Source organism: Homo sapiens, chromosome 2, assembly GCF_000001405.40.
Source record: "Homo sapiens chromosome 2, GRCh38.p14 Primary Assembly".
NCBI lineage: Eukaryota > Metazoa > Chordata > Mammalia > Primates > Hominidae > Homo > Homo sapiens.
Genome location: NC_000002.12, coordinates 68,370,318 through 68,393,047, shown reverse-complemented (window position 1 = coordinate 68,393,047; position 22,730 = coordinate 68,370,318). Strand labels below are relative to the sequence as shown.

Here is a 22,730-nt window from a genome sequence, read left to right as displayed (position 1 = left end):
ATACTAACTCCAGGATAACAATATCCCGGCCTAGGTCTTTGTCAGGGAGATAGTGCTACAGCCAATAAATAATATGGATGTTATTAGATCGAAGAGGTGGATTAAATTATTTCTAATTATTGTCTTCCAGTTTTAGTATGATATAAGGCAGTACTAGGTACAATGTGCTGTGTTAGGTAATGTAGGGGGAATAAAGAGGTTTAAGATGCCCTGATCTTTAAAGAGTTTATGACCTATGTTGAAATATAAAGTAGCAAATGCCCAAATCAAATAATTGGTATAGATAATGGATTCCAAAGGCATTAAGTAGGGAATATGTAATTGTGGGCTTTGGATATCAAAGAAAGCCTCATAAAGACCTGCACTTATCCATGTGGGACACAGGATTTAGATGGGCAAGACAAAGGTGGGTAGGAGGACAACTGACAACACAAGAGCAGAAGTGGGAATGCAAGAGACATACTCAGGTGTTGATGAATAAGACCAGTCTGGCTAGAATGTAGGGTTCATGAAGAGTAGCAGAGGCAAGGTGGGAAAAGTGGACAGAGATTTAGTGGAAATAAAAGGCAGGGTTTGTTGTTGATGGCTTTTGAGTAGGAAGTGAAAGAATTACAATTACATTTTAAGAAGATTAATATGGTGACAAAGTGCAGGATGGACCAGCTGGCTAGATTAAAGGAAAGCCCAGGAAAAGATGGTAAGTAAAAAAGAATTCATTAGGGAAGGATCACAATAATCCAGGCATAAAATCATTAGGAACTAAACCTTAGGTAGCTGCAGTAGGAATGGAAATGCCTGTTGCTGTAACAGACATGATGAAGGAAGAAGAAGAGGCGGAAGAGGAGGAGGAGGAGAAAGAAGAAGAAGAAGAAGGAGGAGGAGGAGAAAAGGGGGAGGAAGGTAGGAGGAAGGAAAGAGGAAGGAAGAAAGAAAGAAGAAGAAGAAAGAAGGTGACGACTTGGCCTTTCCCAACAGAATTAAACACTGACATTGTCTAGACTGAGTTTTAAGGGCAGGATTTGTGTCTTGCTTATCTTTGTTTCCCAGGGCCACAGTGCCTGGCATATAGCAGCTGCTTCATATCTGTTTGTACTTGCTGTGAGTTACCAAGTTATTTCCATTAGTGTGTAGCAGATTTTAAACTGTCATGGTAAACCTGACTCTATGATTTCCCACAGGAAATTCAAATGACTTAACTCCAGAAGCCAAAAATAGTATTATATTAAAAGATACGGAGTTTCTATCTTGCCAATACAAGAAATATTATTTGTAATTTCTAAAGCACCACATATTGGCAAGCATGTATACAAATTTTCCAACATTTTTCATTTTACTTGTGCTGAAAGCAATAAAACATGTGTGGTCTTAGCAAACAGTGCCTCCTTCATAAATCCAGAGGTGCTTCAAGGAAGCTTTCAGAAATGGGCCTAAGTTTTTTGGCAAAACATTTGGTGAAGGAACTCACTTCCAAAGAACTTTCTACTTCCTGAAGGATGGAGCTGGAACCCCTGCAGAGTCATATGCAAGGACAGAAAATATTCCTACCTGCTATATCATGTCCAAAATGGCTTTTGCAAAGCATAGACTTCCAAAAGTATACATTGCTGCTCTTTGCCTTAACTAATGTTGCCCTTCAGAATAACGACACTAAAGTTGCCACCCCATACCATTTCCTCTTCACTGACAGACACACATGTCATGCTGTATTATGCAATTGCTGGACAATCACCAACTTATTATGAGCCAATGGAAGAGGAAGGTAACAGGAGGATGTGAAATCAGCCAACCACCATATTCCCTTTAAGCCCTCACTGACATCACAATGTGACGTGTTGAAGAGTTGGAAGTTAGCAGGTACATTTCTGGTCATCTTTCACTTAATGAGCATTTTCTAAGGAGTATTAAGAAATGCATGTATGCCTCAGGTTTCCAAGAATTGTTACTGAACTGTCAAAGCCATCTACTTATATTTGACTTAATTAGCTCCCCAAGTGTTCATTGCCTATGATAAATCAAGAAGGATGCTGAACTCTGCAGCAGATACAAGAGAAGCATATATAACACATTGTTCCTCTCCCTCAAGGAATCTAAATGTGGTTGAGAATTAAACAAGCAGATGCTTTATTCATTGTCATAACAGAAACAATTATGTAAAAAGGGATTATACTGAATATAATCTAAGATCATTCATCCTCAAACTTGCTGCCAAGTAGGATTATTTATCCTGGGATGAGAAAATAATGGGGCAGGGATAATGGCCTCCAGTTAGCCACAGCTACTTCCCATCTGTGAGGCTTCCCATTATAACAAGCCTTCTATGAAGTTAATCCTGGCTAACTCCCAGCAGTAAACACAAGGGAGGCTTACTTTTGGAATTTTAAGAAAAAGTTTTTAAAATTCTGAAAATCCCTTGGGTGATTTTGATGTAAACTATGGTTACTAACCACTGAGCTAAGAGATTAGAAACATTAAGGGGAAGTGTCAATTCAAATCGAAGAGGTTTTTGCTCCCCAACCTCTGAAAAAAAATTCAGAGGAAAGAATATTGTAAAAGAACAAAATTCCTGAATGCACGTAGATTTCTGTTTTCTTCACATAAAAAGGAAGCTTCTAAGAAAGACTATTTAACTTGTATACTGATAATAGAATAAATTAGCTTTTAAGAAAAAGGCTGGCTCAGTGGTTCTCAGCTTTGGCTGCACATCAGAATCACTTGGGAGCTGTAAAAATCCAGAGGCTCTGATTAAATTGGCCTGGCATGCAGTTTTAACAGTTCCCTGGGAGATCCAAATGTGCACCAACCGAGCTAGCTAAGGCTAAATTGTACCTATCAAAGGCCAGACAAAGGAAGGCAAAGGAAAACACATAAGTTCAATCCTTGTCCCTATTGTCTTCAAAATACATCCAGACACTCATTACCCACACACAATTTTTGACCATCCCAGGTCTCCTACTGGGCTGCTTCACTGAGACGTGGCTCCAGTCCAGTCCCAACTTTATCTACTGTTAGCCTTCATCCTTGGCTTTCCAAGAGCCCCATTCTAGATTAGGGTTTGCCCAATCAACTAATTCAAGAAATAACTGATAACAATATAGAATTATGGAAGAAATCAACAAAATAAAGAAATTTCCTCCCAAGTTACTCTTCTTGTCTTAACAGCCACATTCCAGCACCTGCAATCAAAGAGCCAGGAACATAGGAATATTTGGCAAAACCAACGAGAAAGCAGCAGCGGGCAAACTGTCCGTAGGCAACTGCCCGAGCCTTCCCGGCATAAGGCTGGCTCTGCCCCATGCCTTTCTTTTAATCTAGCCAGCTGGTCACCCTGTCATAAAAAAATACTATAATAGTCCATGAATTCTTTATAAATTCTTGCCATATATTTCTTAGGACACTGTTCTCTTAAAACCTGATATGAAGGTAATTTTTCCATTCGAATGTCCCACTTCCCCCTGTGAAACTCAAAATCCATACCTATACCTCCTTTCAGCTATCCCAGCCCAGAGTCCCTCTTTATAAATGTAAATATGGGCTCTTCTCTGGTTCTTCCCTCCTTGCCCATTCCATTAATCACTAAGATGGACATTCAGGGTCCTAACATGAAATAAATCAGATCCCCCAGTCCCGTGGAGCCTATAGACAGTACATGGAAATCTCCTGATGGCAACAGATTCTCTCCATTATATACTGAGCAGCACTTTTAAGGCAGCTCACAGTGCAGCCAGGAAGGCAAGACCTTGGTCCTGCAAAGCAGCCTTGGCCTCTAAGATGCCTTGTGCAAGTATCAACTAGCTTCCCCCTGAATATTCTCATGTCTTCCTGCGACTTCCTCCACCAGGTACTGGTCCTGGCTTCCTCAGTCATCTTGGCCCCTGTCCATCTCTTACCTCTTGGCATCATATGCCTTGGCACCTGGTAACCGACTAGAGCTCCTCAGCACTCTCCAGCCCTTGCCTCCAAGACTGATGGTGGCCTGTACCTGTGGACACCTGGACATCCCCCCAGGACTCTGTCCATGCCCTCAATCTGCATTTGACTTTTGCCTGCTGTTCCTGTGAACTGGCCTCTGCATGCCCAGGTTTTGGTCTTGTCATGCCCTAAGCACAGACTGGAATGACTCTTCTTTGCTCTCAGTGGTGTACTCTGTTCCTCTTCTGGGTGTAGCCTGTTCCTGTTTTCCTGGTTGCTTTGAAGGGAGGAGGGACAGGTAAAATGGAAGTACTTTTACCATGAGACAGCTTTGTCTTTTGGATGGCATCTCTTAGACAATTTATCTCCTCCGGCCATATTTTTCTTGAAACACCTTTTTTTTTCCTATGATATTGATAAAAGAGGCATTTTCCTACTTTTAGGGACATCTTCTGCCCTGTCAAACTCAATCTTCCTGATCTAAAGCCACTTTGATATCTAAAGAGCTACTCATCTATCTTTCACTTTGTGGGTTTCATTTTCTGCTTGACTATTAACCAAACAAACCAAAAGTCACTGGGTAACTTAGAAACAAAAAGGACCTTGTAAAGGGAAAAGGCTAGATGGGAGCAGTTGTGGCCACTCACCTGCTTCAGTAAACATCCCTGCTTGATAATGACCCCTCTGAATTCTTCTTTCAGAATCACATCATCATCACTGGAATTCTCTTCACAGAAGAACCCACTGTCTGGCTGTTGGAAAATCAAACAGCAAGCTAACATCACCAGTCTTAGGCACATTGCAACTTGTGCCATCTCCATTCCCCCTCCCCTCCAGCCATGAGGGCAGCCTCCTCCTTTTTCCTCCATTCCTGTGTACATCCCAATCTGAACTTCAAAGGTCCTTGATGAGCGAGTTTCTCCTCCTCCTTTTACTTGCTTCCGGGGCTGTTCCTTTCTTGTCTCCACTCAGGTGTGATCTTGTCAATATCCTTTTATTCTGGAGGGTCTCCCAAGCTGTATCCTAACTTTAGCTCCATCTTCCTAACCAGGCACATGTCTGCCTTCAAAGCCTTCCTTCTCTTGGGATATCATGGTCACATCCTTGAAAGCAGGGCAGGCTAATTTCTCATTGGCAATACTATCACCAGCTCAACATTTGCCACTGAGCCCCCTCTTGGAGAAAAGTGACAGCATGTGTCCAGCCTCTTCCCCTGAGGTTATGAGGGAAGTGGGACTTGCTCAGCAAAAGTAGATGATGAATCAGACCGAGGAAGAGGAGCCACTGTGATGGGTATTTTTAGAATCCTGCATTGAAATGGCTATAAACGACCAGATCAAAGGACTGAAGAAAAAAAAAAAACAGACTGTGGAACTTCCCCTAAAGTGAAATGAAACCCTCTAGGGTGTTCACTTCATGTTTATAAGAAGAATGGTTCTCTTAGGTAACTTCCTAAATTCTGTGCTCTGATCCAAGATAGAAACAAAACTGCCAAAATCCCCCAAGAAATCCACCATTGCTCACATGGCCTAAGAACAGGTTCACATTGTATAATATAGTGTTTCCCAATCGTGGGTAAGCATACTGTGGGAGGTACACAAGATGACTGCAGGAAGTGACATCTGTGGACACATTTTGTATTAAGAGTCATGTGTTTTAACATACATTTGGAATAATGCACTTAATACATCAAACCTGTGATTTATAGACTCCTGTCTGGAAAGGAAGCTGCAGTAGGGCAGGATTTTTGCCTGTCCCTCCAGTACGCTTGTCTACGTGGCTGTATCTTCTTGTCTTAGAGAATGCTTGCCATGGACTAGGGTCTAAGACAGTTTTATAAATGAATTATTGCTTAGAATAAGAATAGATAGTTGGGAGGCAGAGGCAGGTGGATCACTTGAGGTCAGGAGTTCGAGACCAGCCTGGCCAACATGGTGAAACGCTGTCTTTACTAAAAATACGAAAATTAGCTGAGTGTGGTGGCGCATGCCTGTAATCCTAGCTACTCGGGAAGCTGAGACAGGAAAATCGCTTGAACCCGGGAGGCGGAGGTTGCAGTGAGCCGAGATGACACCACTGCACTCCAGCCTGGGTGACAGAGCAAGACTACATCTAAATAAATAAAAAATAATAATAAGTAAATAGGAAACAATAAACTTTAAAATGTCCTTTAAAAATTTTTTTTCAAGTAAACAGTAGTATCCTTTTATAATAACAAATTCACTTGGACAGGGCGAGTGTTGTAGAGAGGGCAGCTGTTGAGTTGGGAAATGCTGGTATAACAGAAGCTCTAAATGGGCCTGGGAGCTTCAGGTATTCCCTTGTTCTTCCTGGCTGACCTCCCTACCCGCTGCCTAACAGCGCTCTATAGATGTCTATGAACTGAAATCAATCTAGAATCTGCTCAGGGCAGCCTCCCTTACAGGAAGAAGAGATGGGGAGCTTTTCTTACAAAGTAGTAGAAGGCATCAGGGTTGTCCAGGAAAGGGTTTTCAGCAGTTCCATCCACTGCACTCTTGGACATGTCTCCAGCAGGCTGCAGATACCCCTCATTGAGCAGCGATGAAGCAATCATGAGGCCTTCCTGGCGATTCCTAACAGACTGGTTGGATACCAGCCAATCAATGACGCAGTTACCTAGATGGGACCAGCACAGGGAAGGTTAACTCTCCTTACCGAAGAACAAGCCCCTGACAATCACCCCTGAACTGACTCCAGCTCACCCACAGGTCTGACTTGTCTCGTCTCCCCTGTTATTTCAAGAAAGAGAAAACAAAATAAGTGGGATAGATACCCACTAGAAACAAACAAACAAACAAAAAACTATGTAAAGGGTTTTTAAGAACATCTACATGCTGCTTAAGAAGAAACACATGACCAGGTATGGTGGCACACCTGTTGTCCCAGCTACTCTGGAAGCTGAGGCAGTAGGATAGTTGAGCCCAGGAGTTCAAGACCAGCCCAGGCAACATAACAAGACTCCATCTCAAAAAATATGTACCCTAAAACTTAAAGTATAATAAAAAATAAATAAATAAAAACAAAAATAAAATAAAAAAATAATAACTTTAAAAATAAAAAAATAAAGTCTTTGTCTTAAAAAAAAGCAACACATGCATCAAAGAAATAGGTTTTACTAACCCACTCACTTATCCCATTGATGAACAAACATTTACTGAGCACCTACTCGATGCTAGGTACTCTACTGGGTGTTGGAGAAATTCCCTCAAGGAGTGTAAAAGGGCATGATGGGTGTAATAAATAAGTCTTGTAACAAGTGCTCTGCTATAAGTCAGTTGCGAGACTACTGGGTCAAATCTGAAGGTGTGAAAGAGGTGAAGGAGGTGAGAGAAGAGGGCTGTGCATCACCATCAGGAAAAGATTCATAGAGGAAGTGACACTGGGCAGAGGCTTAAAATATGAGTAGGCGTTTGCCAAGCATATGAAGCAGGATGCAGAGGAACCAGCACAAGCTGAGGGGGCAGCAGTGTGAACAGATGCACTCAGGCATAAAGCAGCCCCATGGGGCAGGGGAGGAGTTGGTGGAAAGAAGGCAAAAGGAAATAAGAGGAGGAGGGAGGTGAAGGGTGGGTGGGGAGAGCTTTGATGGCACAGTAAGAAATTTGGCTAATGGGAAATCATTTTAAGTTTTTAAATAGGAAATAATGTGATGGATATATGTCCTAAATTAAAATTTGATGACATCACCTGCACTGATTGTCATGACTTTGCAGAGTCTAGCAGGGACCTTGAGAAGTCATTTAAGCAATCTTCTGGTCAAGAGATGATTGCAAAGAGAAGAAAATGAAATTGACCCATACATTGGATTATTAGCAGGTTACAATGAAGCTTTGTATTAAAAACAGCATGTTTGTTCTTACAACAAAAAAAGATAGATATTTGAGGTGATGGATACACTAGTTACCACGATTTGATCACTGCACAATGTATATGTGTATCAGAACATTAATTGTGCCCCATAAATACGTACTATTATGTGTCAATTAAAAAAGATAAAAATAAAAAGCAGTGTGTTCCTTACAAATGTAGCCAACAAGGGAGTCAACATGACAGCCTGCCTGTCCTGTCATCCGGGCAAAAGCAGTAGGGATGCCACCCTCAAAACAGGAGTGACAGCAGTTGGATAGCGAGCCTTCCATGAATTTCATGTATGAAAGGCTTTTGCTCACTTTTCTTTCTCTACAAAGATAAACTAAGTGACACTGCATTTCTTCTTTTTATCTTCATAGCAGCCTGTGAAAGAGGCAGGGTGGTAATTGCAGTCCTCATTTTAAGGATAAGAAAATTAAGGCTCAGGGAATCTGAGTGATCTTAGGCCAAAGTTACAACTGCTCTGGGCTGTCACTTTTAAGTGTTCTAACCCTTGCATCCACGCTCACTCAGTGAGGCATGCTGAAGCTTGAAAGACAAGTTTGGTCTAGTCTGCCTGTCATCGGACATTTAAGGTCTTCCATCATGTGTCAGTACTGCTGGGTCCCAGTCTCTGCTACAGCCTTCATCTCCCAGCCGAGGCCACCTGACTCCCCCATGAAGGCTCTACCCATAGAAATGTCCAAAACCCACCCTGGCCTTCAACAAGAAGGATTTAAGAAGTACTAGCCCACCTGTAATCTTAGGGATTACAGGCCACTTTGAGAGGCCAAGGCAGGCAGATCACCTGAGGTTGGAAGTTTGAGACCAGTCTGGCCAACATGGTGAAACCCCGAATCTACTAAAAATACAAAAATTAGCCAGGCATGGTGGTGCACATCTGTAATCCCAGCTCCTCAGGAGGCTGAGGCACGAGAATCACGCTTGAACCCGGGCGGCAGAGGTTGCAGTGAGCCTGAACAACAAAAGTGAAACTCCGTCTCAAATAAAAAGAAGAGGAAGAGGAAAAAGGAGAAAAGAAGAATAAGAACAAGAGGAAGAAGGAGGAGAAGGAGAAGGAGAAGGAGAAGGAGAAGGAGAAGGAGAAGGAGAACAAGAAGAAAAAAACCAGCCCAATAGTCTGGGACTCAGTAACACATTACAGTGGAAATCAGTCTGACCTGGATTGGGTGCCCAAGTCTACATTGAAATGCCCTCCTGTTCCCTTTGCCCAAGGCTGTTGCAGTGACCTCGGTCCTGATAGAGTTGGGAACTTCCCTTGTTCTTGTCACTTTCTCATACCACCACCCACAGCTTGGTGTCTTGATCCCAAATCTCAGCCCTGCCTTGTCTGATGCTGGGCTGCTGCCTTGACTCTGAGGCTTATTCCCACGGGGGACTATCTCATCGTCAGTGATCAAAGCCTTTTCCCCTTAGCCTTGCTGATCCTGACCTGGACCAATTTCATGGATTATCTGTTGATGGCACATCCTCTTAGATTCCACATTTGCTGTATCAGCTCAGAGTTTTCTTCCTTTGATCTCTCCTGTCACCATAAGAAAGCCAGGCCTGGTATCTGACAAACTTAGTACCAAATTGTACATCCCATTTTGCTCCCCCTGATGAACCGTCAGCCCTACTAGGCTGGTCAGTTTCTTTTTCTAGATGCATATTCTGCACATGTCTGCCTCATAACTTTGTCCTCACCATCCTTTGCCCATCCTCTGCTCATCCTCTGCCCTGGCCCATCCTCTGCTCATCCTCTGCCCTGGCCCATCCTCTGCTCATCCTCTGCCCTGGCTCCTCATTAAAAATCCTCCTGTAAATATTTAATGAAATTCTACCCATCTTTCAGGGTCAAATTTGGGTACCACCTCCTATTCATCCCATCAACCCCTGAGTTCTTTCTCTTTTTTTGAACCCCTGGAATTGGTTGTACAGACATGTGACCACTTAAAACACAATAACCACTTGAGCTTGCACCATATAGCACTGAGTGTGTGCCAGGCACTACTCTACACACATAATGGCAAGCCTATGAGGTAGGTGCACTGTGATTATCCCCACTAAATAGACAGAGAAAGTGAAGCACAGAGAGGCTAAGTTATTGAGCCAAGGTTTTATAACTAGTAAGTTGCAGAGCCAGAATTTGAACCAAGGTGGTCTGGCTCTAAAGGACATGTTTTTAACCACTACACCATACTACCTAAACTCATAACACTTAATACCTGACCCTGTGCAGCCTCTGATAGCCCTAATATTGTCATTTAAAACTTACATTGTATGCCTTAATCCCTGTTTATTGTAGTAAGGGTTGCATCTTATCCAATTCTGTGTCTATTTCTAGCAAGTCTCAACATAATGCCATTTATTGAGAAAAAAAATCCTTTGATTGGAACGTTAGCTTGAACAAATGTTAACTTGAACAAATAAAGCTTGAACAAAATCGTTAGCTTGAACAACAAACTTCTTTCTATTTTCACTCTGTAGGAGCTTCATCCTCAGGCTCACCAGGCTGCATTCTGGGACCCCTTCCAACCCCCATACTTCATACCCCCACCTCACAGACGAGGCCGAAGGAGGACTCCATATCGCCTTCCCAGTCGCCCTATTTCAGGCCTGCAAGTGCTTTTACCTGTGAAGCAGTGATTAAAAATCTTCTTGTCCTTCTCTAGATTCAGTTCTTTTATTCCTTTTTCAGTGTCTTTCATGGACAAATATAAGGCACTGCACAGAGATAAAAAAGCAAACAAACAAACAAACAAAAAAAAACCCAGTTGGATGAGTGGGGAACATTTCAGAATGGTAAGTTCTCTCTGGGAGGTGAGCACAAGCTCCCCCACCCCAGGTATCCCCTGAGCTTAATCTCCCTCCATCAGATCATAAGTAGTGGAGGGGCAACATTCATATCTGCATAACTCTGTAGCCTGCACAGCGTTTAGCAATGCTGGAAGGTACTTAACGTCTCCTAAATTCTCTTAAATTCATTCAGCTGTTTGTTGATTTAATTATTGGTTCCTGGGATGGAAATTTGCCCCAATTTAGAGGTCAAAGATGAAAGGTTCCTAGGGTCCATTTTCTACACATTCTACATCTTTAATGTCCCTCAATCCTCATATCCCAATTCTTTAATGCTCTTCAAGGGACCATCTGTGGTAGACATTGGCCTTTAAGAAAGTGAATGCTTCCACTAAGCATATGTCTTATCTTTAAAATGATGAGATATAAGGCAAAATGGTGAGAAGTTCTCATTTTTGTCCTTGAAGTAATACATCAAAGATAGCCTTACGAGAGAAGCTCTAAGCAACAAAACAGAAGGCCCCTTCCATGTAGCCTGTGGCTCCCTATAGCCCGAGCATTTTTCCCACTTAGTTCTGACAGCACTGGCCAGGACTGTGGTCACTCGATGGCCCCCATCAGCAGCTGCAGCTGCACTAGGTGCCTCGTTGGAGCTCTTTGCCAAAAAGCTTTTGTGGTGAAGGAGGCTGCTGAGTCTCACTCAGCTCAGTTCACAAACTTTGTCAAACTCCTGTGCCATGCCAAGTCTTGTGTCGTCATGCAGAAGTGCAGAAGGGATGTCTTTAGGCTCCTCTCAGTGCTTCTCCCCACCCCACCCTCCATAAAAACAAAATTCTTGTTGGACATTTTAAGCAGCTGGCATGGGATTCTTCTCAACAGGGCTCCTGCTTCAGGGAATGCTCAACAAAAAAGCAAAACTACCAAGAAGAAAGTGACTCCTAGAGAAAGGGGCTCATGTGACCAAAGATGTGAGATACTCAGGAAGGAAGAAATCCCATTCCCAACCTCTGTCAGGAGCTAGATCTTCCTGTTGGCCTCTGACCACCTTTAGTCTACAACTATCACCTGCAATTCCAAGCCAACCAACATCAGCGGCCATTAAACTGGGTCAGGACATAAATGGCTTCCACCAGGATGGGTGTTTACCCTGGCTGGCCCTTCCTGAGTGTGTAAATGAATGAACTTGAACTTGAAACCTTGCTTGCTTGGATGCATAGCCCCTGCTTTTTCCTTTCTACCTAAAGATCCTAAAGCTTTATTTCAAGACTGACTTATTATGGCTATGTTATAAATGCAATGATGATGTTTCTTTCTCTCTCTCTCTCTCTCTCTCTCTGGTACCCAGTATGAGGGAATTTGTACTCCATTCGCCTCCTCTCCTCAGCTAGTAGGCCTTGGATCACTCCTTCAGACCCAGGTAAACATTTTAGTACACCAAGTGCCAGTATTGACCTGGCAGAGTGGATACAACATCAGAGGTGGTCAAAGCAAGCCTTGGAGCAGGATCTGCTATGTTTGTGTCTTTCAGAAGGAATGGGTAAAGAGAAGTAAACACAGAAAATCACCCTAAGTCAATGGTTTCTGGCAGTCGAATGGACCTCCTGGTAGATTTCCTGGCAAATTTCTGGCCTCCTTCAATGCATTTAATGGCCTTCTTGATATCCCGAACCCAGGCATCTCTCTCCTCCAGGAAGGCTGCCTGGAAGAAGTGGTCCTGCTGTTTGGTCGTAGTGATCTTAAACACAAACTGAAAATCAAAACACATCCCATTAGAAATGGCTTATTTCAAGGGCTTGGGGCCCCTCATGAAGCAGAGGCCATTGGCCTAAACCTCTTCTAGCCAAGAGAAACCCAAATGCCAGGGTGGGGTGTGGGTGGTGGTGAGAGGGACCAGCCCAAGGAGCACCACCCACATTGTAGGCAATGCTTGCACCAAAAGTTGAGTGCCTGACCAGGGGTTCACGGCAGCTCATGATGTCAACTTACCATCCTTTTGCCAAAGTCTTGACAAGGGCTAGTCAGAGTGCTCCCTTTCAGCGGGATCATTCCTTTGGGGCTGTTGTCACTTTTCTTCTTATAGAATTCAATTCCATCTTCTAACAATACAACCCACATGGGTTTCCACGTATTGAACACGCTCCCCTGTAATGACAACCAAAAGAGCTGAGATGGACAGGGCTCTTTGCAAACTGTATTTTCCTCCTAACAGGAAAGATTCTATATTTACTTACAGTTGGTTTTTAAAATGTTTGGTGACATCATCTCTGTTCCTTCAACACAAATCCTCTCAAATCAGTGGCTACTTGGGGAGCCATTCTCATTTCTACTCCCGGCTCTTTGCTCAAGCCAACCCCATTCTCTGGAATACTCCTCCCCAACTCTGCCCTCTCCTCTTTCTCACCTTGCCTAACCTCTCCATATCCTTCAAGGCTCAGCTTAGCCACCTCATTGATGAGGCTTCCCGAACTGCACAGACCCACCGTGATCTCAGGGGTGCCTCCTGCTTTTCTCACTGATTGTGCCATACAACCTGGAACTTTGTTATATATTTCCTCATGTAGTTCTTTAATTGTCTTCAGTATGGTTATCTTTCCTTCTCCATGGCAATTACATTATCAGGTACTTTCCTTGGTTCATGATACTGAGCACACAGGGGATGTTCATTAAAATAATACAAAAGAAGATCATTTCCCAAACTGCCAAATGCTAGCAGCTATCACACTTCATTGAAAAGAGCAACCAATCCTTCTTATTATCTACTTCATCCCCACCCAAACCCTTTCCTGCTATGATTTCCCCTGCACCTCCCTTTTCATGTCGGGTTCACACCATTAAGAACCACAAAGGACCCACCTCACAGAAACATTCTCACCCCCGCTATGTGTAAGAACTGCCGGCAGATCTTGCTTCTGAAACTACATCTGACACATGATCTTAGAGTATAGTTCTTTCTTTTTTTGAAGTCTTTATTTATTTTTACATGTTTAATTGCCTATTTTGAGGAGAAAAATACAAAAATGATAATTATTGGTGTTCGGTTGGAAGGGTTTTCATTTTTCAGGGTTTTAGAACATTTCAATTCTTGGGAGGGTTAGTCAGAATTGGAGAAAGAATTAAATATTCTAAAGCCTAGTGGTTTTCAAAATATGGCCTGCAAACCAACTAATCTGACTCACTGAAGACACATATAAATAAAAGCTGGTTTTACCCCAAATCTGCCTTCACTTACAAGCTCTGGTAACACTGCTGAGATGGTTGGCTGAATCTTAGATGATCTAGCTCAAGCACTCTCTCTCTGTCTCTTTTTTTAAATTTTATTTTTATTTTTATTTTTTTGAGACAGGTTCTCCCTCTGTCACCCAGGCTGGAGTGCAATTGCATGATCTCAGCTCACTGCAAGCTCCGCCTGTCAGGTTCAAGCAATTCTCCCACCTCAGCCTCCCAGGTAGCTGGGATTACAGGTGTGCACAACCACACCCAGCTAATATTTATGTTATTTTTTTCAGTAAAGACGGGGTTTCACCGTGTTGGCCAGGCTGGTCTTGAACTCCTGATCTCGTGTTCCTTCTGCCTCAGCCTCCCAGAGTGCTGGGATTACAGGTGTGAGCCATCGCGCCCAGCTGGTTCTATGACTTTCTTACTGCCCACACTTGTGTAAGCCACTTGCCCTCTCTAAGGCTCAGTTCCCAGCACTAAAATGATAAGAATGACTACCTCAGAGATTTCTAGAACATATGAAATGAAATAATTTGGATAAGATTTTATAAGTTCGAATGTGCTCTACAAATGAGAGGTTGTATTATTAAGTATCTTGACAGATGGCCATGTATGAATGTCTTCCATGCTTTGAGTTTTCATCCTCTCTATTCTTGGAAAAATGACAATGAACTGGTATCAGTATCATCCCAATGAGGAAGAGTCAAAAATATTTAGCCAGTTGCCATGTGGAGTAATGAATGGGAAAGCTGAAGGCCCTGAGGATCTGCATGAATGTATTTGTGAGGAAACACACTTCCCTTTGGTTTCTCTTCTGGTGGAATAAGGTTTGGGATTGTGAAGAATCCGGCCTGCCTCAGACTTGCAGGCCTCCTCCATTATTGTATGACATGTCATCCAATGATGCTTGAAGTATTTAGGATACTTCAGTGTATGCTATGATTTGGGGTCAAAACTCGAACCTACATTTGAGCCTCATGTCAACCACTTATTAGTTGTACATGTCTTTGGGTAAAATGTTTAATATTTCTGAGCCATGGCTTTTTGTTTGCTAAGAGAGAGATAATAATTCCATCTTAAAGCATAGTTTAGATTTAGATCATGTATAAAATATGTATATATAAGTGTATAATGCATGCCATATGCTTATATGTGAATAATGTACATATACATTATACAGTGTATATATCTTTAAATACATATGTATACACATGTTTTATATATAAAGTGTGTAAAATCACTCTGTCAACTATTGCCACCCAACTATATGTTCCAGGGGGGCAAGAACTTACTTCACCATCATATTGTCAGGTGTTCAATCAATAATTTGTGGAATGAACGGTGGTAATTAAAATCACATTATGACTGTAAGAAAATATTGGGGAAAATCTACAAGACATTGGTCTGGCCAAAAATTTCTTGAGCAATACCCTATAAGCACAGACAACCAAAGCAAAAATAAGCAAATGTGATCACATCAAGGTAAAAAGCTTTTGCACAGCAAAGGAAACAGGCAACGAAGTGAAGAGACAACCCACAGAATGACAGAAAATATTTGCAAACTACCCATCTGACAAAGGATTGATAGCCAGAATATATCAGGAGCTCAGACAACTCTAGAGGAAAAAAATCTAATAAACCATTCAAAAAATGGTCAAAATATTTGAATAGACATGTCTCAAAGGCAGACATACAAATGGCAAGTGTGCATATGAAAAGGTGCTCAACATCACTGATCATCAGAGAAATGCAAATCAAAACTACAATGAGATAACAGCTCATCTCAGTCAAAATGGCTTTTAACCAAAAAACAGGCAATAAGAAATGTTTTTGAGGATGTGGAGAAAAGGCAATACTTGTACACTGTTGGTGGGAATGTAAATTAGTACAAACACTATGAAGAACAGTTTGGAGGTTCCTCAAAAAACTAAAAACAGAACTACGATTTGACCCAGCAATCTCACTGGGGGGTATATACTGTAAAGAAAGGAAATCGGTATATGGATGAGATATCTGCACTCCCATGTTGGTTGCAGCACTGTTCACAATAGACAAGATTTGGAAGCAACCTAAGTGTCCCTCAACAGATGAGTGGATAAAGAAAGTGTAGTACATATACACAATGGAGGGCTACTTTGCCATAAAAAAGAAGGTCCTGTCATTTGCAACAACATGGATGGACCCGAAGATCATTATGTTGAGTGAAATGAGCCAGGCACAGAAAGACAGACATCACATGTTCTCACATATCTGTGAGATCTAAAAATCAAAACAACTGAACTCATGGACACAGAGAGTAGAAGGATGGTTACCAGAGGCCAGGAAGGGAAGTGGGGGACTGCAGGGAGGTGGGGATGGTTAATGGGTACCAAAAACAAGAAAACAGAAAGAATAAATGAGACCTATGATTTCATAGCACAACAGTGTGACTATTGCCAACTTAATTGTATATTTTAAAATAACTAAAAGAGCGTAATTGGATTGTTTGTAACACAAAGGATAAATGCTTAGTGGGGATGGATACCCCATTCTCCATGGTGTTATTATTACTCATTGCATGCCTGTATCAAAACATCTCATGTACCCTATAAATACATATACCTACTATGCACCCACAAAAATTTAAATTTTAAAAATTAAAAATTAAAAATAAGATCACATTATTAATAGATAAGACTGAATAAATAAGACATAATGAAATGATTAACATAAGAATAGACACAATAAGTGTGACAATATTTCCTAAAATGATCCTATAGACCTCTGCAGGACAATATGTAACTCAGCTTTGGCCAGTGTGGAGGCAGGTGGTCCACATTTGCACAAGGCTGCGCAGGAAGGATGCCTTCAGGGGAAAGGAGGACTGTCATTCTACTGGAATTTTTTTTAATTAAGATAAAATGTATATACAGTGACAGTCAACCCATAAGCTCCCCTGGTACATTTCAGGCTGACTTTATGTGGTTTGTTTTCTGCTCCCAAACCTGCCCATTGAGTTCAGTTCAACTCAAGAATGGCAAGTAGAATCTATCTCAAGTGTCAATTCAGACTGAGTAGTAGTGGATGCTTGAGGCTGGACTCAGTGGAAAAGTGTTGTGATCCAACAGCCGTGTCTCCCATAGACAAAGCAGTCATAAGTGGTGGCATGCACCCTGCAGTTGCTTCCATCTCTTGGGCTAATCAGATTTTATCTGAATATGAATGTCAAAAAGAAACTCAGACAGCAGCCTTGTGTGCAGGCATGGCTAAGTTGTATGAAAATCACTTGCAAAAGGTCTATAATGCCAGAATGAGGCTATCCACATTAATGTAGCCCTTAAAAAAATCCTTACTTAAAATGTTTTCAGTTTGGGTTCATGCCAGCTGCCCCTTTAGCAATAAGTTGACCATTCTGATTAAAACAGGGAAGTCTCTATTTCTGGTCTATATTTTGGAAGAATTTGGCAAAGGTCTATTCTTTAACCCATGATATCACCCTGTCATGACTACCACAAAATAGAATTATCATCCAGTTCCCAAGAGACCCTGCTGCTTATCTCAAAATACAAAGGGCCTCTATATAAAGGTCCAGTTGACCAAAAGGAAGACTATTTATGCAAAGATAAATACTTGTGGGACTATCACTTTGCTTGTCCAAACATTTCCTTTGTTCTAGTTACTAAAATAATTTTCTAAATTAAAATACCCTATCTCTTTTCTGCATGGGCAGAATAACTATTCCAGACGAACACTGGATTATTTCCCCTTTTAAAAATGAGCAAGATCAGACACTGTGCCAACACATGAAATAATTCCAGTAAAATGCCTTTCTGTTTTACAACTGAAACATATCTAGAATACAAAGAACTCCTGCAAATCAATAAGAAAAGTACAAATAATCCTATTTTTAAATGAGCAAAAAGTATCGAGCAGGCACTTTAGTAAAGAAAACATCCAAATGCTTATGAAAAAGTGTTCAACATCATTATTTATCAGGAAAATGCAGATTCAAATCACAATGAGATACCTCTACACACCTGCTAGAGTACCTAGCATTTTCAAAGTCAGAGAAGAATAAGACTTGACAAGGAGGTAGAATAACTGGAAGTACCAAACATAGCTGGCAGGAGTGCAGAATATCACATCCAGTGCAGAAAAAATATCTGGTGGTTTTATGCTAAAGCTAAACACATATATGTCCTTTGCACCAGCAATTTCACTCCTGGGCAAAGATCTGAGAGAAATGAATGCATATTGTCATAAAGGTTTCATCAAGAATGTTCATGACACCTTTATTCATCATAGCCAGAAACAAAGACTAACCCAAATGCCCATCAACAGGAGAAGGAATAAGTAAACTGTATAATATAATATATAAATCCATTATTAACACAGTAAATGTATACTATGGAAAACAACCTAGCAATTTTTAAAAAATGAACCGCTAGTACCTGGAACATTATAAATAAATCTCATAGATGTTGAGTGAAAAGCAAACAGGCAAAACATGTGCTTAGAGTATGATTACATTCATATGACGTTCAACAACAGGCATAGCTTATGAGAAAATATTACAATAATGGTTACCGACGATGGGAGTATAGACTAGGAAGGGAACAATGGAACTTTATAGCATACTAGAAATGTCTCTGTCTTTATCTGTGTGTTGATTACATGAGGTATAGGTATGTAAAAAATTATGACACCCTTCATGTACCTTATTGTAAGTTATCCTTCAATTAAAAAACAAAGTTGTTAACTCCAGGTCCTGTTAGTTAACTCCATGGAGGGGTATACAGTGATTATAGTAACACCACCCTTCAAGTTGCTTCTATAGAAGGAAACTATTCCACATTAGTTACTTCTCTCACTTAATCACTGGAAAAACAGCATATTCATGCAATGAATTGTCCTCGATTGAATCATGGATTCTTTTCAAAGCCGCTATGCAGAATATTATTGAGTGATCTGGCATCATTTGAATGTAAAAGGTGTATTAGATAAGGTCATTTTATTAGTAATAAATTTCTTAGATGTGATAATGGCATTGTGATTATATAGGAAAATGTCCTTTTTCTTGGAAGATGTATGTTGAAGTATTTTGGAGTGAGGTAGCGTGATGTCTGCAAATTACTCTCAACTATCTCAACCTAATATGATATGTGTGTTTATTTATACAGAAATTCAGAGATAGGGAGAGACAAAGCAAATGTGCCCATCCATTATCAATTGATTAATCTAGGTAAAGGCTATATGAATAATGGTACTAGTTTCCTCATTTTTCTGTGGGCTTAACTTTTAAAATAACTTGGGAAAATTATTAAATGAATGAGTAACATATGACTCTGCTATGTATTAAAATTTAGAATATACTTTTAGTGAAATACATAGACAAATCTATTTAATAAAAAATTTTAAAAATACCTGGAAATAAGAAAAGAAAGACATGTTCTCAGAGCTAGAAATGAAAAGTTGCACTAGATGATTGCCAGAATCCCTTTTAAACCTAACATTTAATATTCAACCTCAGGAATAGCTGAGATTATTAACTGCCATCATCACTCAGGGCTTTTGACTTTGAAATTGGGATGCATCAGTAGCGATAAGCTGGCATTGCATGCCTTCAGTAGACAAAGCCTCTGGAGCCAACTGTCCAATATGAGTTTGTGCTTTTCTTTTTTTTTTTTTATTTTCTTTATTATACTTTAAGTTTTAGGGTACATGTGCACAACGTGAAGGTTAGTTACCTATGTATACACGTGCCATGTTGGGATAGCATTAGGAGATATACCTAATGTTAAATGACGAGTTAATGGGTGCAGCACAACAACATGGCACATGTATACATATGTAACTAACCTTCACGTTGTGCTTTTCTAAATCAAGTGCAGCCTCCGGGGTCTGACTCTGAGGAGGATGTGTCATTTGGGATTCAGGGTCATTATGCACAATGAAGAGGCTGATACTTTATGAAACAAGAGAAATCTGACCACTTACAAAGCTTAAACATCCTTCCAGGCCTGATAGTGCTGAGTTAGGTCAGGATGATGGAATTTGAGGAGGTTTTTCTCTCCTCTTCACCACTACTGCAGCTACCAGTTTCTCACTCGGGTAACCTGGCAGCACCTCTCCTTGACCATTCCTAAATTTTTCCTTTTCTGGCCCCAACCCACTTGATGCTCACCCAAGAGCAAACCTGGAAGTGTGATTATGGAATGTCCAAATGACAGAGAAATTTAGGATCATCTACCAACACTGTCACCATATTGATAAAAAAAAGTGGAGGCCCAGTTAAGTGATTGGCCTACCACATCTGAACAATTAATGTTAAGTGATTGGCCTAGTACATCTGACCAGTTAATGTAGAATCCATGTCTCCTGATTCTCAATTTTATGTTTTTTCCCTTCCCCTCAGATGTCATTTTCATTTTGGTTCTTGTATAACACTGAGTCATTCTGGAATCTGTATCGATTTCTTTAGACCACTTAGCTAGCTATTTCACTTCAATGGAGATATATATACACACACACACATATATATCCATATGCTGTGTGTATGTGTGTCTGTGTGTGTGTGTGCATGTGTGTGTGTAGCATATATGTGTTTTCACCCATTATATGCCAAAACCTGTACATGTCCACAATGGGATGCTGAGTCAGATTTGAAGTTTTCTGGTAAATACCTGTTCATCATCATGGGACTGGTATAATTTAGCACCTAAGAGTCTGACATTGCATGACATCAAAAGAAGAAATCATAAAGAACGGCAGATTTGACCATATTAAAAATAAACTTCTCGGCTGGGCGCAGTGGCTCATGCCTGTAATCCCAGCACTTTAAGAGGCTGAGGTGGGTGGATCACTTGAGGCCAGGAGTTTGAGACCAGCCTGGCCAACATGATGAAAGCCAGTCTCTACTAAAAATATACAAAAATTAGCTGGGTGTGGTGATGCACACCTACGGTCCCAGCTACTTGGGAGGCTGAGGCAGGAGAATCACTTGAACCCAAGAGGTGGAGATTGCAGTGAGCCTAGATCACACCACTGCACTCCAGCCTGGGCAACAGAGCAAGACTTCATCTCAAGAAAAAAAAAAATGAACTTCTCTATATTTAAAAAACTGCAACAACTGAAAAGCAAATGAAAATGCATAGATATTTGTATCATCATATGATTAAAAATTAATATCCTTAATTCTTTAAACACTTTAGAACCAATAAGAAATATATCAACACTCCCAATTTTTTAAATGAGCAAATAATATAAATAAGCAATTCTCAAACGAATAAAAGCTGGGTCCAATAAAACATAATTGATTGCTTCAACTGCAATCAAAGAAATGCAAATTGAAATTAAATAAGATACAGCCTTTCTCTTTAATAATATTTTGTAAAGACTTATAAGGTGTGGGAAATGAGCATGTGGGAAAAAAGGAGCTCTATGAGTCAGCAATTTGATGTGGGCTGTCAAAAAAAAACTAAACTCGTTGTGGTTGTATACAGAGAAGTGTAAGATCGAAAGCAAGGAAAATGATAATTCTGTCTTTAAACGAAGCATAGCCTGCAGGTGACCATGGGCTCTGGAGCTGGATGGCTCAGGCTCAAATCCCAACTCTGCCACTTTCTAGTAATGTGGCCTTGAGAAAGTTTTTAAACTTCATTCTCTCCTTCTGGCAAGCAGATATGATGATATCTACTTCTCAGCTTTGTTGGGAGATGAAAACAATCCATGTAAATTGCTTAAATCAGTAATTGGCATATAGTAATCACTCATTAAATAGTACCTATTCCTTACAGTTCTATGCTTATCAGGTGCTCCTGGAGAACTATACTAAGTTCAAGTGACCTCAAAGCTGCAGGTAAACCAGAGCCTGTTCAAAGCAGAACACCAAGATGGTATCATCTCTCTAACTGTTGGAGGAACTAACTAGGTTTTAGCCCATAAAGGAACAGGTAGAGCAGGTGTGAATGCCTGGATTGTTTTGAGGTCCCAGCCGGTGGAGGTTTCAGGAAAACAGTTTTCTGCATAACTTAAGGGAGAAAATGTAATTAGTGAGTTCCCTAACAAGAGAAGTATTCAAGCATGCTTGTTAACAGATGAATAAAAGAAATGCAAGCTGCAGATGAGAAGCTGTATTAAATCTGTAACATCTCTTTCTACCCTGAGATCCTACACATCTATTCCAAGGTGCCTGCTGTCCCTCTTTTCCCCCTTTAGTCTTCTATTTCCAGGTGTCCCTGCTAACCCTTGGGCTTGCTTGAAAGCCAAAAAATAATAATAAATCTTTGAAATATATTCTACATGATCATCTAAAAATGACTACCCCCGTTGAAATTACTTTTTCTTAAGACTTAAGAAGTTACTTTGGTCTCTATGAAGTCTATTTTAGGCAAGTTTCTTTATTTGGGACACGTTCATTCAACAAATAATGATAGAATGGCTCCTATGCTTTCAACACTGGCCTGGTTGTTGGGATGTAAAATTAAGCAACTCTGAGCGCAGTACTCACACCTGTAATCCTAGCACTTTGGGAGGCCAAGGCGGGTGGATCACTTGAGGTTAAGAGTTCAAGACAAGCCTGGCCAACATGGTGAAACCCCATCTCTTCTAAAAATATAAAAATTAGCTGGGCTTGGTGGCACATGCCTGTAGTCCCAGTTACTTGGGAGGCTGATGTAAGAGAATCACTTGAACCCTGGAGGTGGAGGTTACAGTGAGCCAAGATTGTACCATTCCACTCCAGCCAAGACTACAGAGCAATACTCTGTCTCAAAATACATAAATAAATAAAATAAAAATAAAAACAAAAATAAACAAGACCCTATCTCTGCTCTCGAATAGTTCACAATCTCACATGGGAGAGAGTGACCTCCAGGTCAGTGTGATGAATGCACAAATTGAGGTGTGCCTTCTTGTGTACACCCAGCATCACAGAAAGAAGCTACAACCAATGGCTG

At 40.9% G+C, this 22,730-nt stretch overlaps 1 protein-coding gene across 2 annotated transcripts in view, besides 3 other annotated features; it reads right to left on the bottom strand.

Moving 5' to 3' along the window:
- The window catches only part of PLEK (pleckstrin), a 32,172-nt gene that overhangs the window by 4,406 nt on the left and 5,036 nt on the right, over nucleotides 1–22,730 (bottom strand). The window contains exons 2-6 of one of the 2 annotated variants that reach the window (NM_002664.3): nucleotides 12,565–12,720; nucleotides 12,144–12,325; nucleotides 10,415–10,506; nucleotides 6,362–6,546; nucleotides 4,557–4,661 (exon numbers count right to left, since the gene is read on the bottom strand). In NM_002664.3, the coding sequence (NP_002655.2) occupies nucleotides 4,557–4,661; nucleotides 6,362–6,546; nucleotides 10,415–10,506; nucleotides 12,144–12,325; nucleotides 12,565–12,720 (720 nt within the window). The remainder of the gene's footprint in view (nucleotides 1–4,556; nucleotides 4,662–6,361; nucleotides 6,547–10,414; nucleotides 10,507–12,143; nucleotides 12,326–12,564; nucleotides 12,721–22,730) is intronic. The other variant, XM_047444772.1, reaches the window with a different exon arrangement.
- Nucleotides 3,853–3,902: an enhancer, noted in NCBI's record as "active region_15952". NCBI's record gives its function as "activates an Ori minimal core promoter by ATAC-STARR-seq in GM12878 lymphoblastoid cells {active_cell/tissue: GM12878}" and the evidence as "EXISTENCE:reporter gene assay evidence [ECO:0000049][PMID:35858748]".
- Nucleotides 5,153–5,572: an enhancer, noted in NCBI's record as "active region_15951". NCBI's record gives its function as "activates an Ori minimal core promoter by ATAC-STARR-seq in GM12878 lymphoblastoid cells {active_cell/tissue: GM12878}" and the evidence as "EXISTENCE:reporter gene assay evidence [ECO:0000049][PMID:35858748]".
- Nucleotides 5,593–5,772: an enhancer, noted in NCBI's record as "active region_15950". NCBI's record gives its function as "activates an Ori minimal core promoter by ATAC-STARR-seq in GM12878 lymphoblastoid cells {active_cell/tissue: GM12878}" and the evidence as "EXISTENCE:reporter gene assay evidence [ECO:0000049][PMID:35858748]".